At 45.0% G+C, this 17658-nt stretch overlaps 1 protein-coding gene across 4 annotated transcripts in view, besides 1 other annotated feature; it reads left to right on the top strand.

Annotated features, from left to right (window-relative positions):
- MSN (moesin) overlaps nucleotides 1–17658 on the top strand; it is a 153555-nt gene that overhangs the window by 89228 nt on the left and 46669 nt on the right. The gene's annotated exons all lie outside the window — the stretch shown is intronic.
- Nucleotides 10921–10970: a silencer, noted in NCBI's record as "silent region_20882". NCBI's record gives its function as "represses an Ori minimal core promoter by ATAC-STARR-seq in GM12878 lymphoblastoid cells {active_cell/tissue: GM12878}" and the evidence as "EXISTENCE:reporter gene assay evidence [ECO:0000049][PMID:35858748]".

Raw genomic sequence — 17658 nt, forward strand, 5'->3', positions numbered from 1 at the left:
AAAAATAGCCGGGCGTGTTGGCGGGAGCCTGTAATCCCAGCTACTTGGGAGGCTGAGGCAGGAGAATCACTTGAACCTGGGAGGTGGAGGTTACAGTGAGCTGAGATCACGCCATTGCACTCCAGCCTGGGTGACAAAGCAAGACTCTGTCTAAAAAAAAAGAAAAAAAAAAAGAAATATGTAAATGGAAAAGAACAAACCCCCCTCCCAGGTTCCTTATTCCCCTTGGTGCCTGGGCCATTGTAGATCTAGCATATGCTTGGTGGGGACATCTGCCATTTGCTTTAGGGTTACACTACATCTTTCTACTTTGAGTGCTTGAAGAGTTGCTCCAGCAGGGCCTGATGTGGGCCTGGTGAAAATCTAGCCTAGTTGCCTTTCTGTCTGCCATAGCCTGGGCATTTTCCTAAGGTTGGGAGTTTTTTTCCTTCTGGTCTTAGGCCAGTTGCCAGAGGAAACCGATGACTAAAGGCTTCCTCCCTGCAACGTCAACTTCTGGAACCTTTCCTGATGATTCCTACCAGTCAAGTCTGCCTTATTTGGCTATTTTCTCCCCCCTCAAGTTACTCCCTCTCCTTGCCACCCCACCTCAACTAGTCCTCTGTTCTCCTTTAGTACAGGGAATGCCTTCTTCAAGTTTATACAATACCACCTGCAAACTTCTTTTCTTCTTGTTTAGAGTCCTAATATGGGGGAGGAGTGGGGAAGGAGAGAGGAAGATGGGAGAGCTCTGGAATGACTGTGATTTCTCCACCCTGCTTTCTTATCTCCCTTTATCCTCTTGGCACTGCCTGGTCACTCCTCTACAGCTTCTTACCTAGATCTCTGACAGCCTAGGAGTGGTCTCGATTGGCCTAAAGAGGTTCAGAGTGTGGGGGTGGGATGGGGCTAGGGCTTTCAGCATTTGAAACTATTTCTTTGGAGCAGGTAAAGCCTTCCAGTTGGTAAGTCTAGTTCTTTAAGTATGCCTGTTGTATGCCTAGCCTTCTCACTTGGCTTTCCTGGGTGGGCTGAGTCTAAGTTCCCTCTACCTCCCCTTCCCAGTCCTGAGCTGTCTAACTTTAGGTTAGAAGAGCTGAGCTTTTGACACTTACAGCTTGGGGCACTTGTCTGGGTGTCTTTAAAAATACCTTTTAGTAAAAAATGGTACAATGGAAAGAAGAGTGAGATATTTGGTTTTTAATCTCTGCCTGTGTGACCTTGGGCAAGTCACTTTTATGAGGCTTAATTTTCTTATCTACAAAATAGAGACATTGGCTTTTTCTGACATTCTGATTATTTGTGCCCAGTCTTTAAGAGGCTAGGAAAGGGGTCTTGGAAAGCGTGTAGCAGAGCAGAGTGGTGACTTTTCGGAGAAGCTTCCTTTTCCCATTTAGAATGGCATTGAGTGTGTCATTTTCTCCTCTGGCTATCAACATGTAAGCAGCCCCCTCTATTTCAGTGAGCTCTGCTCTGGGATATACTGAATCTACCTACCAGAGAGCTCACTGTGGAGATTCTGGCTTGGAGAGACAACTGTTGACTACATGCCTTGGGTGGGGTCTTGGAGTCCAGCCTGCAGACTACAGTTGCTGGCTATTTTTGGTCATCTGTGACTCAGGAAGAATAGAAGACCCTTGGATTGGTCATTGTTCCATCAGGGAAAGGGAAGACAAAGAAACAAGCTAAAACTGAGGACATATGAGATTTCACTTCCTTTACTCCCTCCCCCACAACATCCCTTTTTGTAGGGCTATGAAATTGCTTTTGACTGAGTCTTAAATTGCTAAGCTCCCTTTCCCCTTCCTCTATCTGAATCATTGTTGACTATGTTGCCCTTGGACGGGGAGAGCTAGGTGATATGGGCTTGGGTGGAGCAAAAGGGAGAATTTCTAGTCAGGAAGATTGCCACACACCTAGTGTTGGGCTTTCAACTGATCCTGTATTTTGTAAATATGGTTTCCTTTGGTATTAGTCCTGGAGATCAAAGGAGAGGGACTTCTGAATTTTCTGTGAGGGCCTACAAGGCTGATAGGGAATAAGCAAGTTTATGGGAAAGGTGTACCCTTCACTGGATCTGTTTTTACCCATCCTCTACTTCTTCCTCCTTTTCGTCCTTCTCACTGACACTTTATCCAGTGCTTGCTTGTGAAACAAGGATCCCACATTGGATCTCAGCCACCTAAGAGTTGGCCATGAACATAAACCTTACCTGCTCTGAGCCCCCTGGAGAAAGCACAAGAAGTCTTGGCATCTGTTTTCCTTCCTTTAGAAACAAGTTCCTTGGGCATCCTTGGGCAGTTTAACCAGAGAAGCCTTAGTTGGGTAGTGCTGGGCAGTGCTGTTAGGGGGAAGATTCTTCTCCAGCATTGAGCTGGAATGGCCTGTGGGCTATGCAGGAGCTTGCTGCTGGAAGCAGCTGCCTTGCTGGAAGCTTCTCATTCTTCCTAGGTACCTCACATGGGTTGTTAGCGATGCCAGTTGTAGGTGGTGGATCAAAATGGCTGTTGGTTTGGGAAGGTAGGCAAGCAGGTGGAGGAAGAAGGAATGTAGAGTCAAATGGAAGAAGAGTGGTTCTTTTTTTATATTTCCCCTTTTTTTAAAACTCAGCATGGCATATGACAAAGTTTAGCAAATAGAGAGAGAAATTGTGTATAAATTCATCATTTTAACATGGCAATAATTATTTGTATTTCTTGTCGTATCTCATATATGTACCTTAGTTTTTGGTGGTGCAATCATAGTGTACATAAAAAAGTTCTCCTTCTTTCCCCCTACTTAACACATCACTAAAAACTTAGATAAATGCTATTTAATTTTAAGAAATGAACATTCTAATGGCCATGTAAAATTCTATTCAAAGGCTATGCCATAATTTAAAACCATTCTCCTTTGGGGGAGCATTTAGATTACTCCCAGCATTTGCTAGTATAGATACATTCCCATGAATGTGAAAAGAGAAAATTGAAACCTCTTAGCATAGCATATAGGGAGGTCCCTTTGGTACCTCACCCCATTCTAGCTTCCTCTCCCAACTCAGCTCCCATTTATTCCCACATGTATGCTATGTGGTAGCTTTGTGGGCCCAAGGTTTCCCAAGTCCAAGTAAGCTATACCCGTCCTTTTTCTTTTTTTCATCCAGCTTTTTCAGGTTGAATTTGTTTTGTTTTGTTTTGTTTTTTTGAGACAGAGTCTCACTCTGTTGCCCAGGCTGGAGTGCAGTGGTCCAATCTTGGCTCACTGCAACCTCCACCTCCTGGGTTCAAGCGATTCTTGTGCCTCAGCCTCCCTAGCAGCTGGGATTACAGGGATGTGCCACCAAACCTGGCTAATTTTTGTATTTTTTTAGTAGAGAAAGGGTTTTACCATGTTGGCCAGGCTGGTCTTGAACTCCTGGCCTAAAGTGATCCACCCACCTCAGCCTCCCAAAGTGCTGGGATTACAGGTATGAGCCACTGCACCTGGCCATGATTTTTTTTTTAACTGTGGAAAGCAATGCCATACCTCTTCTTTCTGCTTTAGCCTATGTTCTTTCCTTCAGCTTGAAATTTCAGGTGCCTCTTCTTCATCTCCCCCCCACTCCATGTCACTTCCATTGGAAACTTTCTTTATTACTCCCAGATAGTATTGTACTATCTTCTATGTGCCCACTGTACTTTGTAAGAACTTCTGTTATGTTATTTACCATGCAGAATTGCAGCCATCTGGGCTCCTAGGCTTGCTCTTTCATTAAACGTGTGCATTTGGAAGCTTCTAGCTCTTCCTGTCTCAAGAAGGGGCCATTCTCCAGGTGGAGGTGGTTAGGAATGGACAAACCTTTGAGGAGCATTTGGTCAGTAATATACATGGTGAGGGAGAAGCAGTAGCAATGAATGCAGGGGATCCAACAGTGTTGGATGAGCACCTGGTAGGGCATACTAACCACTAGTAATAGAGAAAATACACCTTGGAGAAGGGACAGGTGTATTAGCACCTATGGGGAAGAGAGGCCTGAGTGTAAGTACAGAGAAAGCCTAGCTGGCCTTGAGTCACCAGTGCAAATTCTGAAACCATTCCAGATTTTAGTTCCCCATCTGTGGAATGGAAAGAGTAATAGCAACCTACTTTTTAGGGTTATGCTGAGGATTCATTCAGTGCACTAATGCATCTGCAAGTGGTCTGTGAGGTGTGAGGCACAAAGGAAGGAAGGTAGGCCCAGGACACTCCAGTATGTTTGTTCCAGTTGGCCTTTTAAAGTTCTGTGCTATATGTGATTCCAATCAAGCCTCTGAACCCAGAATGCCAGATGCTACAGTTTCTCTGAACCCCACATAGGTGCCCCTACAGCCAGTTTTTTATTTTTTTTTTAAGTAGGAAGTATGCAGGGAAGTACCATCTCCTCACTCATTTGAGCAGCCTGACTCCAACTGGCCCTAGCACAGCCCTACTCAAGAATGACCACAAGTGCCTGGGGAGGGAGGGGCCACCATCACCTTAGCTCTTTAGTATAAAATAAGTGGTTTAGAGTAGAGGGTTTCTTAACATCCCTTTAGCTATAGGTAGAAGTGTAGAAGCTGCAGTGAAACTGAGCACCTTTCAGGTCTTCTGGTCTGAAGCCTGCCATGTACTGTGGGAAGGACAGATCTTCATGTCTGTCACTAACTGTATACTCTTTAGAGGCCTGCCCATCTCATCTGTCTTAGGAAAACAGTTCATGAAGAACCATCTAAGCCAAATTCAAGGTCTTTGAGTGGAGAATCTCAATTAATTGCTTTTTGTTTTCACCACATACTACCCATGGCTTCTTTTGTTGTTTTTATTGTTGTTGTTGGGACCCTTGGCTTCTTGCTGCTGCCTTGGCCATTTGCATACCCCCATTCCACCCCAGGACTTTATGTTTTGTAAGGAAGCAAATTACCTGAGCCAGTGGAAGATCTACTGGTCACCTATAAATCAACACGAAGAAGGGACTTGCTCAAGGTCATGTATTGAGGCAGAAGCAGAAACTGGTATTGAAGGCAAGACTCTCAGGAGTGTGTTCTTTCCATTATGTCAGTCTAGCCCACTAGTGTGTAAGCTTCATGAGAACAGAGATGGTTTCTCACCACCCATTATATCCCCGGTACCCAACACAATGATGCCTGGCATAAAGTAGATTCTCAACAAATATTTATTGAATAGATATGTTAATAGCTACTATTTTCATGTTGGAACTGTCTTCTTTAGATTCCTTTAGCTAGATCTACCAGATAGCCAAACAACAATTCCATTGATCCACTGGAAACTACCTAATGTGGACCCAGCTGGGCCCTGGCAGAATGGAACAGGGTAGCACCGGGGAATGGGAAGGCATTGTCTCTCTTGTGCACCTTGGAGAGACTGTTTATCTGTGAGTGGCCAGCATGTTCATAGCCATTTCTGCTCCCTTTTCCCATATCTTCACATAATACAGTAGTGTTCGTGTCAAGTGGGAATATTCAAATCAAAACTTTTTGTGGATTCTAACAGGCAGCCATGCAAACATTTCTGTCCACCTTTGTGAAGTAGCCCAAAGTTTGGCTGTACAGTACATATTTGAGACATTACTCAATTTTTAATTTTTTTGTGTTTGTGCTGCTCATTATGGCATGGCCAGCAGGCAGGGCTGCATTGCATAATTTAATCCTGAGAGGTTTGTGCACCTGAGGTTTAGGGATTTGGTTGGCCCCTGTGCTGAGGCCTAGGAAGAGACAGGCATAGACCAGGGAGGATAGCAAGGAAGTCCTGGCGATCATAATGTTGGGGCATCCAGTGGATATCCACTCTTGCTATTGCTACTGTTGCCGCCGCCGCCACCACCACCACCACCACCACCACCACCACCACCACCACCACCACCACCCAGGCTGCTTTAGGGCCCAGAGCTGCTTATCTTTGCAGACTTGGTATTTTTTGGCCAAGGTAGACTAATTTTGGGGGCAGTAGGAGATATTTTCCTCCCATCCACTCCTGAGAAAAGGGTAGGGCCAGCATTTGAGAGGTGTAGGTTTATGCTTACTAGGTAAGGTTGACTGTCCTAAAATAGAGAGAGCTTCTGAAGTTCACCTAGTCTTTAAAGGACTTTTCCCATCTGTTTTTTTAGTCCTGAGCCATATAAGGAAAGTTAACAGACACAATCTCTGCTGTGTGGTGGAACAGATTTAAATAAATACAGACTTTGTTTTACAATTTTGGATTAATTTTTCATTATGAAACTAAACATGTTTGTTGTAAGAAATGAAACAGCATTGAAAAATATAAAGCCTCCTGTCTTCTGCCCCTGACTGTATTCTCCAGAGACAACCATCATTAACCAGTTAGTTATGTGAACATAAACTCTTTTTTTTCTTTCTTTCTTTTTCTTTTTTTTTTTTTTTTGAGATGGAGTCTTGCTCTGTTGCCCAGGCTGGAGTGCAGTGATGCGATCTTGGCTCACTGCAACCTCCGCCTCCCAGGTTCAAGTGATTCTCATGCCTCAGTCTCCCGAGTAGCTGGGGTTATAGGTGCCTGCCACCATGTCCAGCTAATTTTTTCTATTTTTAGTAGAAATGTGGTCTTGCCATGTTGGCCAGCCTGGTCTTGAACTCCTGACCTCAGGTGATCCACCTGCCTCGGCCTCCCAAAGTGCGGGGATTACAGGCATGAGCCACTGCGCCCAGCCCATAGACTCTTTTTTCATGCATTTGTATATATATGCCTTTAAATGCACAGATAGTACAAATCCGTATTGTTCTGCTTTTTTAACTTAGTATGTGCTGGCCATCTTTTAATGTCAAATCCGATTTTAAAGTCTACAGGGGCTCATTAATAAGCAAATCAGCAAATAGGTAGAACACTTTTTAAACATTAAAATCTTTTTTTTCTTTTTTTTTTTTGAGGCAGAGTTTTGCTCTTTTTGCCCAGGCTGGAGTGCAATGGCGCGATCTCGGCTCACTGCAACCTCTGCCTCCCGGGTTCAAGCTATTCTCCTGCCTCGGCCTCCCGAGTAACTGGGATTACAGGCACATGCCACCACGCCAGACTAATTTTGTATTTTTAGTAGAGATGGGGTTTCATCATGTTGGTCAGGCTGGTCTCGAACTCCTGACCTCCAGTAATCCACCCGCCTCGGCCTCCCAAAGTGCTGGGATTATAAGCGTAAGCCACTGTGCCTGGCCAAAAAAGCTTTTTTATATAGAGACAGCGTCTCACTCTGTTACCCAGGCCGGAGTGCAGTGGTGTGATCATAGCACACTGTAACCTCCAACTCTTGGGCTTAAGCAGTCCTCCTGTCTCAGCCCCCTGAGTGGCTAAGACTACAGGTGCATTCTACCATGCCCAGTTATTTTTCTATTTTTTGTATGGACAGGGTACTAGCTATGTTGCCCAGGCTAGTCTTGAGCTCCTGGGCTCAAGCAATCCTATCACCTCAGCCTCCCAAAGTGTTGGGATTAAAGGCGTGAGCCACCAATGCCTGGATGAATTGGTGGAACACTTAAAATCTACACAAATAAAGGGGCCATACTCTTCATTAAGTGGAAAATAAAGAAGTTGTAATGAGGATTTGTCTGTCTGAGAGGGAAGGTTTTCTGAAGATGTGATATGTGAACCCTTCTGTTGCGATGAAAGATGATGGTAGCTGCTCCCCTTTCTATGCTCAGTAGGCCCCACCTATAGAGATTGCTTTAGATCCTGTGTCTAAATGAGCTCAGTGGAGTGATTAGTGGTAGGATAAACTTATTTTCTATGCTTAGCATGGTCCCCTTCCTGTTTTGTGGTTTTGCCAGCTTGGGGTGGTTTGATTCCAGACAGTACCTGACTGAGAATCCTGCACCTCAGAAGACCTCTGGCTGTTGGAGCTGTCTGAGGTGAAGGAAAGAAACTTTGTGAGTGTACATATGTGTGTGTTTGTGATAGGCACATGCTTTTCCAATGTTCTCCACAGAAGAGCAGTGGAGGCTGGTCCGATGGTAGTGGGTTACCGATGGTACTGGGTTGTCAGAACTTGTTAACATTAGCATCACTGAAGTTTTTGTTTTTGTTTTTGTTTTTTTGAGACAGAGTCTTGCTCTGTCACCCAGGTTGGAGTGCAGTGGTATGATCTTGGCTCACGGTAGCCTCCACCTTCCAGGTTCAAGCAGTTCTCATGCCTCAGCCTCCCAAGTATAGGCGTGCACCACTGTGCCTGGCCAATTTTAATATTTTTAGTAGAGACAGGTTTTTGCCGTGTTGGCCAGGCTGGTCTTGAACTGTTGGCTTCAAGCAATCTTCCTGCCTTGACCTCCCAAAGTGTTGGGATTGCAGGCGTGAGCCACCACGCCTCAGCCACTGAAGTGGGTGTACAACCCCCCACTGCTAAATTTGACTGGCTTAAAAACAAACAAACAAACAAACAAAGAAGAGCTGTGGAAGGGCCTGTCAATTATCAGAGAAGCTAGATTAGAATCCCCTTCCTAACAACATACACATCAGGAATCTTGTCCAGGTGGTAGGAAAGTGGAATTTTGCAGAGCACTCAGCTGTAGGTGAGCCACCAGTTGAATAATTGAGGAAGATAGTGATTTGTGAAATACAAATATTTTGAAAGAAAAATTCTAGCCTAGTGGTCACTGGTCCTGGTCTTAGAAGCTTTCTAACTTGAGAGTATTGATTATGTTGAAGGAACCAGGCCACTAGAGGAGAAGCAGAATTACCAGAAATGCTGGCTCTATTCTGCCCACTCATGGCAGGCCCCACCTTTCTCTTGCCTTTTTATTCCCAGACTTCCACAGTTGGTGGGGCAGAGTTCTGCTTGCCCAGCCTTTAATCCTGGAACCTCTGCTACCAGAGGTTGACCCTGACTGGGCTAGGCCCACAGGCCACTGCAGGCATTATTCCCTTCCCCTTCAGACAAACAGGAAGCTGCCTGCACACTCTTAGTGATTGGCACTTTCAGGAGCTTTGTGAGGCAGGGAGTTTGAGATCAGGTTCCAAAAGGAAAAGGAAATGACATTTTAAATAATTTTTTGGGCTACTTGAGAAGGTGTGGATCCAAAGTATCTCCAGGCATTTATTGTAGGCCAGGCTTGCAGGAATATCTGTGTTTCCATACTTACTTGCTGTTTGACCTTGGAGAAATCCCTTAACCTCCCTGAGCCTCCACTTCTCCCGTTGGTAAAGTGGGAATGATTATGTGTTAACCTCAGAATTGGTGGGAAACTTGGATAAGTTAGCAGTGGAAGGCTCTGAAATGTTAGCTCGTAGAAAATCAAGTGTTCAGGATTCAGGTGCTCAGAGAAGTTTAAATCATGTTTTAATAGTCTCTGTTGACAAAAGCAGTAGAGTATATCAGTAGATGAAAGACTTTCAGCTCACCACTAAGAATAGTTATGATCCTTAAACGGGTGAGCCTCAGTTATCAGAAAATGTTCACTTCTGTGATACAGCTCATTTATAGACCATTTAGGACCAATGAGGCATTGCCATATAATCATCTCTCAACCATCCATAATAAAACTCTCTTCTCGGCCAGGCGTGGTGGCTCATGCCTATAATCCCAGCACTTTGGGAGGCTGAGGCGGGTGGATCACGAGGTCAGGAGTTTGAGACCAGCCTGACCAACATGGTGAAACCCCGTCTCTACTAAAAATACTAAAAAAATTAGCTGGGTGTGGTGGCGAGTGCTTATAATCCCAGCTACTCAGGAGGCTGAGGCAGGAGAATCGCTTGAATCTGGGAGGCAGAGGTTGCAGTGAGCTGAGATTGAGCCACTGCACTCCAGCCTGGGTGACAGAGCGAGACTCTCTCAAAAAACAAACAAACACACAAACAAACAAACAAAAAAATCCCCTCTCTTCTCAGCTACCTGTGGACTGCCTGTTCTAAATAATGTGAGCTCAGGGAATACAGGCTCTTCTGATAATCCAAATAACACATAATTAGTTATGCAAACGTGTCCTAAAAGTTTCCAGGGTGAAGTGGTTAGGTTGCTGTTGCTGAGTAATCCATAGAGTATTACTCTTATGTTGATGTGGGTAACTGACCTTAACTATAAGGAAAATGGTGAACTTTGCACTCTGGAGCAAGGAAAGTGATAGGCTTCTACTTCTCAGGTCATTTGTGCCTTCACTGACCATCCCTCCAGCTGTGAACTCAGGTAGAGGCAGCATATTTATGAGAATCGGATTAGAAAGGAGGCAATCCTTCAAAGATCGGAGGTTGAGAAGACATGTTTGAGTGTGCCCTGCATGGACTTTTATTCCAGGGAGAGTCGAGTAGTTCTCCCTTCATCACACTCTACTGAGATTGTCCTTTGGCAAGAAGAACCAAGCTTAAAGAAAATCTTAAAAGAGCCATTAGGAACCTCTTGGGGCAAGTTCTTCTGGAACCTCTAGCTGCTTAACATCCCAGAAAAAGAAATTCTAGGGTTAGGAAGCTGGAAAGGATTTATAATTTTAGGGGATAGCTGCCCATTTTCCAAATAGTTTTCTGTTTAAAATAGCCAAGTCAGATGCGAATTGAAGGAATCTCTTGACAGGTTGGCTGGCATTGCCCTGTAATTTTTTTCCAGTGTCCAAGTAATGATAATTCTCTATATTTGTAACAAGTTTCATAGTTGTAAAACTCTTTTTTATTGTTATTACTATGTCATTTGATATTCATCAACTCTCTACAGTTGGCAGGTTAGGAATTATTATCTTTTTTAAAATTATTTTTTAAAATAGAGACAGGGTTTCACTGTGTTGGCCAGCCTAGTCGCGAACTCCTGGGCTCAAGAGATCCGCCCACTTCGGCCTCTCAAAGTGCTGGGATTACAGGTGTGAGCCAACACACCCAGCCAGGAATTATTATCTTTACTTTTACATAAGGGAAAACTGGGGCTCATAGACTTTAAGTGGCTGCAAAAATTACTCAGCTAATGAGTAATGGAGACAAGGCTTGATTGGGAGACAGAAGACTTTGGTTTTCGACTATGCACGGGGTGGAGTGTGGGAAGGGAAGGCAGTGTTGTTTCATAAAGGCCTGGACTTAAGCTCTGGTCATGGTTAGGTCAGAGTTCTGAAGCTAGAAAGGAAGTTTCAGCTTTAAACATTTGGCCCTTCCCCCGTTCCAGTGGTTGCCCAACCTCTTTTCAGTCTCTCTTCTAAATATTGTAAGTCAAGACTAATGTTTAGAGAGAGAGCACTTGGGGGCTGTGTGGGGATGGCCACCTGTTATATTTGTGTCCTGCCTACTTGGGGCCTGGCCTGACTCTGGTTTTGCAACTGGCTTCCTGTGTAACCCATTCTTGGTAGTGTCAGACCACTGCCTTCAAGGCTAATTGTGCTTTCCACCTGGTTGAGCCAATAACTTATTTTGTTTTGCCATGCTCCTGGACATATGGGAGTTGCTTATTAGTAGGTGAGAATTGTTTGGGGGCTGCTTAGACCTAGCTAATGTAGAGTCTTGTTTGTACCTTGGTGGGAGCAAGAGCATCAATCCAACTTTTTGTTGAGAGGAAGAGGTATTGGAGAATCATGGAAAAGGCACTCTTTTTTAGTTGAAGAGCTGTTGTTTATGCTGGGCCTTGCTGTTAGCTTTCCAGAGCAATCTTGACCAAGTCCTTGCTCGTTTTTGGGCCATAGCCTGTTCCACAAGAGGTTGGTTTGGCTAACCTCTGAGGGCTATTTCCTGCTCTGAAACTCTGATTTATTCAGAAATGTTATACTCCCCTAACAATGGAGGCTGGTCTGCCCTCCCATGGGTACGGGAATGGTGGCACACATCTCAGAAATGGTTTTGTTCTGTGCGGAACTGAGCCAAATGGACAACTCTACCAGCTCCAAAAAGTTGGAAGTGGTCAGCTGTGTCTGAATTTTGTAAGGGAGCATAACTGGGTGGAGGGGTGAACAGGCATCATTAGAGGCCGGATGTGGATGAGGAGGGAAGAAGTGCCCTGGAGAGGTAGTTCATAGAGAACCCACCAGAAACAGGTGATAAGCTGACATCATGAGGTAGATGGTTTATCCCAGTCTGTGGCCAGGTAGTTCCTGGTCACAAGCAGTTGGTACGCCCTCAGGAATGTGATACCATCACATGGGAATGTGTCACTAGAGCAGCCAAAAGGCTGTGGATGCAGGAAGAGCAGCTCTCTCTTGTCACCATTCCCTCTGTGAAGGGTGGGAGATTCTTAAAATTGGGCCATAGAGACCATATGTGGCAAATGAAAAAAACAATTCACAATGGCAGATAGGACTGGTCCTTTAGAGAAAGGAAAAGTTGTAATGCTTGCCTGATGTCAAAGCATGTGGGGTTGGATTTGCTAGTTCCAATACATTTTAATTTTTTTTCTTGTGGACTTGAAGCAAGGTTTGGAAAAAGGGGGAAATTTGAACTCATGACCTTTGGAAACCAGAATGAAGCTTAATGTTGACTGTTAGAGCTGCCCTTCTTATAGTAGGGGGCTGAGTTTTGCATGGAGCCATCTAGGCTCCCTGCCTTCTGATCTACCTTGGCCAGGGTGTACCTGGGGAAGTCCAGCTTGCCTGTGTAATTGATCTTGACCAGTTTGTAGGAGCACGTGTAGACTCTGATTAATTGGTTTGGGTTAAGGCTTTGGGAATCAATATTTTCTGAGCACTCCCACAGGGAATTCTAACATTGGGCAAAGGTTGATTACTGCATCTCTAATAGAAGCCTCTCCTTGCTACATGTGACAAAACTGAACCAGAGAAAGGGGAGGGAGGCCTGTGCCCATGTCAATATGGCATGGATACAGCTGATCTGAGCACTGAGCTAATGCTTTTTCCAGGGCTCTTTGGACTCTTCTAACAGTTCAATTGGACATCCTCTAAACTTGGTCAGAGGTCCAGAAGGAGATAGTAGTTATGGCCCCCAACCCAAAAGTGCTGGAGGAAGGGGTGGGGTTAACTAATTGCACCCAAGGGAGGTGAGCAGCCCTTTTTAGAGAGTGAGTTCACCGTCTGGGCGTGAGCAGACCAGTGGTTGGGGGAAAGGGGAAGGATAGAACAGGATAGGAGGTGAGTAATGCTGTGGGCATCAAGACATTCAGTTAGTGGGAACATTATAGGGAGCTGGTGAGCTCAAGGACCTGGTGACTTCACTCCTCAGATCCATGTGGACTTGCAGGGCTGGAGCCCTGTCTCAGTGTCCAAGACGTGTGTCTTGTGCCTGGGAACTGAGGACTGCTTGTTCTCTGCTTCCTGCTTCAGCTGGATGGCCTTTACGCTTGATTAGGGAGTGAGCCCAGCCATAGAGCAGCCTCTCCTTGGCCCCAGCCCCTACTGCTACTATCCTTTCAGAGTGGATCAAGCTCTCGCGCATATTGGGGCACACTGTATCACAGTGTGGTCTTTGATTATTTTTCCACTGTTTTACATGTAGTATCCCGAGTAGAGAATAAGCTCCTTCTATGGTAGGAAAGGGGGCTTTGTTCCAAGTCCTTCCTAGGGGCATGGGAAGGTGCTTAATGGAGAGAAGCAAGCAGCATGAGTAGGACACTTTGGGTTTCTTTTCTCTCGCCAGTATCAAAAGGAACTTTTCTTAGGAGAGAAAGGTAACTGGGAGCTTTAGGGTGGATATAGTACACACTTCATTCTCTGGGGTCCAAGAATTATGTCTTTTTCCTACTAGGTGGGGAACCCCTTGAAGTAGTACTTGGCATAGTCTCTGTATTCCCAGTGCAGAGTAAAATACCCCACACTTTGCAGGGGTTCAATAGCTGCTGAATTGGTTTAAGGGCATTTTTTGTCTTATCCTCTCCCTTGAGTCAGATTAGATTCCCCAGAAGCCCCCTATCTCCTGGCTGAAGACTATGGAAGCTAACAGGGGAGGAAAGGAAGGGCTGCATCCACAGTTGGCTGTCTGGCACCTCTTGGATCCAGAAATCCACCTATAATTCTTAGCAGTAGTTAACTTTTCAGGTGTATATACTTTCACATGTAGATGTTTTTTATTTCTTTTTGTTTCTTTTCCTTTTTTTTTGAGATGGAGTTTTGCTCTTGTTGCCCAGGCTGGAGTGCAATGGTGCAATCTCGACTTACTGCAACTTTCGCCTCCTGGGTTCAAGTGATTATGCTGCCTCAGCCTCCCGAGTAGCTGGGATTCCAGGTGCCCGCCTCCACGCCTGGTTAATTTTTTGTATTTTTAGTAGAGATGGGGTTTCACCATGTTGGCCAGGCTGGTCTTGAACACCTGGCCTTAGGTAATCCACCCACCTCAGCCTCCCAAAGTGTTGGGATTACAGGCGTGAGCCACTGTTCCCGGCTCTTTTCTTTTTCTAGAGGAGGAACAATTGTGAAGAGCCAGGGTGGGAGGTTAGAAGGTAGGCACTCCTGAATGGTTGTTTCTTCCCACCACTTTTGAGAGAAGGGCCAAGCAGATCATGAACATCCTAGACTTAGTCCAGAGGAGAAAGGCCTTAGTGTAGTGTTGGCCACTAATGGAGGTCATTAGCCGTGGAGCTCTGTGGTGGCCTTCTTTCATTCTTAGCCTCTCACTCCCATTGAGTTTGGCATCCTTAGCTTGATTTCCTTTTATTCTCCAAACCTTTTCTGAGGGAATAGGGAGAGAAGCAAGGCACACATGTTCCTTTGCTTCTTGAGCCCTTAATTGGCCAGCTGGGAGGGATCCCCTTCTTGCTTCTTTCTTCTTCATGCATGCCTGTTGCTCTCTAAGGTCAGGGATTTGAGCCAGAGGCCTGGGAGTCAGGTACTTTATGGCTCAGCCCCTGGCCTGGGGCCTCCTATTGTGGGGATCAGCTTGGCCCAGGGCCTTCCTAGTATGAGAATGGAATGAGCTTTTGTGGAAGATGGTTAGTGGTCTAAGCTTATTATCTATTTTTTCTGCCAGTGCCTTTGCATAGGAAGGGAGTAGGCTGCTATGTATGATCAATTGGTATGTGGGCCAGTTATCTTTGGCTAACTTTCAGATAAAACCTTTGCTGTCCATCTTTTTTGGAAAGTAGAATGTGAAAAGAGATATTTATCCAGGTTTGAGGCCTTGCAGATAGTCAGTGGAGTTATCAGTATTTGGTTAAGTCTAGGAATTGGTGAACTTGCCTGTTGGACCAGTTTTTGTATGTATCATAAAAATAAGTTTTACCATTTTAAAAACATTTTTTGTTTGTTTGTTGGTTTTTGTTTGTTTTGTTTTGTTTTCAGACGGAGTTTTGCTCTTGTTGCCCAGGCTGGAGTGCAGTGGCATGATCTCGGCTCACTGCAACTTCTGCCTCCCAGGTTCAAGCGATTCTCCTGCCTCAGCCTCCTGAATAGCTGGGATTACAGGCGCCCACCACCACTCCTAGCTAATTTTTGTATTTTTAGTAGATACGAGGTTTCGCCATATTGGCTAGGCTGGTCTCGAACTCCTGGCCTCAGGTGATCCTCCCACCTCGGCCAGCGTTGTTTTTTTAAAAAAGAAAAAAGAATATGTAACCAAGACTATAAGTGGCTTACAGAGACAGTTTGCCAATCTCTGCTAGTCTGTGCTTTAGACTGCCAATTTATTGTATACCTATTTCTTATATACTCATGGCTTCTTTATAGTCACCTCTTTCCTGATCCAGACACACTGCAGGCCTTTGAATCCTGCTTCTTGTAGCCAATCATAAATACCTTCCATGTTGGTTACTAACTAACCAAACCATTGTGTCTCCTTCCATGTATACATGGGGTCTGTGGTCACCTAGGGTTAGAATTAAAATTGTACTTTTCAAAAAATCAGCTCCTGGGTTCATTGATTTTTTGAAGGGTTTTTTGTGTCTCTATCTCCTTCAGTTCTGCACTGATCTTAGTTATTTCTTGCCTTCTGCTAGCTTTTGATGTGTTTGCTCTTGCTTCTCTAGTTCTTTTAATTGTGATGTTAGGGTGTCAATTTTAGATCTTTCCTGCTTTCTCTTGTGGGCATTTAGTGCTATAAATTTCCCTTTAGGGACTAAAGAATATTTATGAGTAGTCAATGAGTGAGGTTGGCTTAAATGGTTTTCAGGTGATAATTAATGGTGAGCATCCTAAGTAGAGTTGCCTCAGGTCTTCCTGCGATTTTTTTGGGGGGCCTAGAGTCTCATCAACATTGCTCAAGTTGATTCAAGAGAAAGGAGGGTGGTAGTTATAAGATAAATGACAGACCAAATATTAGAATCATTTTAACCATTATTTATTGCTGCATGACTTTGGGTAATGTATTTAATGTCTCTCAACCTTAGTTTCCCCATCTTTAAAATGGAGGATAGTGGGCCGGGCGCAGTGGCTCACGCCTGTAATCCCAGCACTTTGGGAGGCCGAGGCGGGCAGATCACGAGGTCAGGAGATCCAGACCATCCTGGCTAACACGGTGAAACCCCGTCTCTACTAAAAATACAAAAAATTAGCCGGGCATGGTGGCATGTGCCTGTATTCCCAGCTATTCGGGAGGCTGAGGCAGGAGAATCGCTTGAACCCAGGAGGCGGAGGTTGCAGTGAGCCAAGATCGCACCACTGCACTACAGCCTGGGTGACAGAGCAAGACTCCATCTCAAACAAACACACAAACAAAAAACAAAAAAAAAAAACAAAACGGAGGATAGTACTGATACCTACTTCACTGAGATTTATGAGAGTTAAAAGAGCTCAAGAGTATGAGTATATCTAGGAGAGTACCTGGCATATTGAAAGTGCTTGATAAATGGCTGAGTTCCCTAAGTCTTTTCCATCATACTTTGCCCTCTTTAAGGATTTGAGATCAAATAATTTTAGAACCCTGAAGTCTGCTTTTAATTTGTGAGTGTGCCTCCTATACTACATTATCTCTTTAAGATTTTTTTTTTTTTTTGAGACGGAGTCTCTGTCTGTCGCCCAGGCTGGAATGCAGTGGCACGATCTCCGCTCACTGCAGCCTTTGCCTCCCAGGTTCCAGCGATTCCCTGTCTCAGCCTCCCGAGGAGCTGGGACTAGAGGCATGCACCACCACGCCCGGCTAATTTTTGTATTTTAGTAGAGATGGGGTTTCACCATGTTGTCCAGGCTAGTTCTGGAACTCCTGGCCTCAAGTAATCCACCCGCCTCAGCCTCCAAAAGTGCTGGGATTACAGGCGTGAGCCACCACGCCCGGCACTCTTTACGGTTTTGTTTTAATAGATGAGGAAACTGATACTTCAAACAGTGATGCCAATGACTGGCCTAGTTTGTGGTGAAACCCATCGTGCCTTCTGCTGCAATCTGTTGGAGGGAACGGTTGTCTGAGAATCCATGTGGGTGTATCTATCACTTTGTAAAGAGGAACTCCAGCTCTGGGAAGCCTTAAAAGTCCCAGGATGAGGGAGTAGTAGAAAAGGAGAAGAGGGACATGAGACCCAGGGTAGAAAGGATGGTTATGGGGTGTGAAGAATGGAGGATGTAGGAAGGAGAAAATGATTAGAGGAATCCTTACTTAAGAAGGCAAAACAGTTTGTGAAATCAATGGATCTCCACCCCTTTGCAGAAGCCAGGCAGCCTTGGCTGGGGCCCACCTCAGGCCCTTGTTATGCTGGTAGCTTTCACTTCTTCTTTGTGTGTGTGTGTGTCTGCGTGTGTGTGTGTGTGTGTGTGTGTGTGTGGTGGTGGTGGTGGTGGAGTATAGATGCAGAGGGATCTTAGTTTGGTTGCCTTTCCAGGTCTATCTGTAGGTAGGCAGGTTATCCATGTGTATTGAAAGTATGTTGTCGGGCCGGGCGTGTTGGCTCACGCCTGTAATCCCAGCACTTTGGGA

Source organism: Homo sapiens, chromosome X (assembly GCF_000001405.40).
Source record: "Homo sapiens chromosome X, GRCh38.p14 Primary Assembly".
Lineage (NCBI taxonomy): Eukaryota > Metazoa > Chordata > Mammalia > Primates > Hominidae > Homo > Homo sapiens.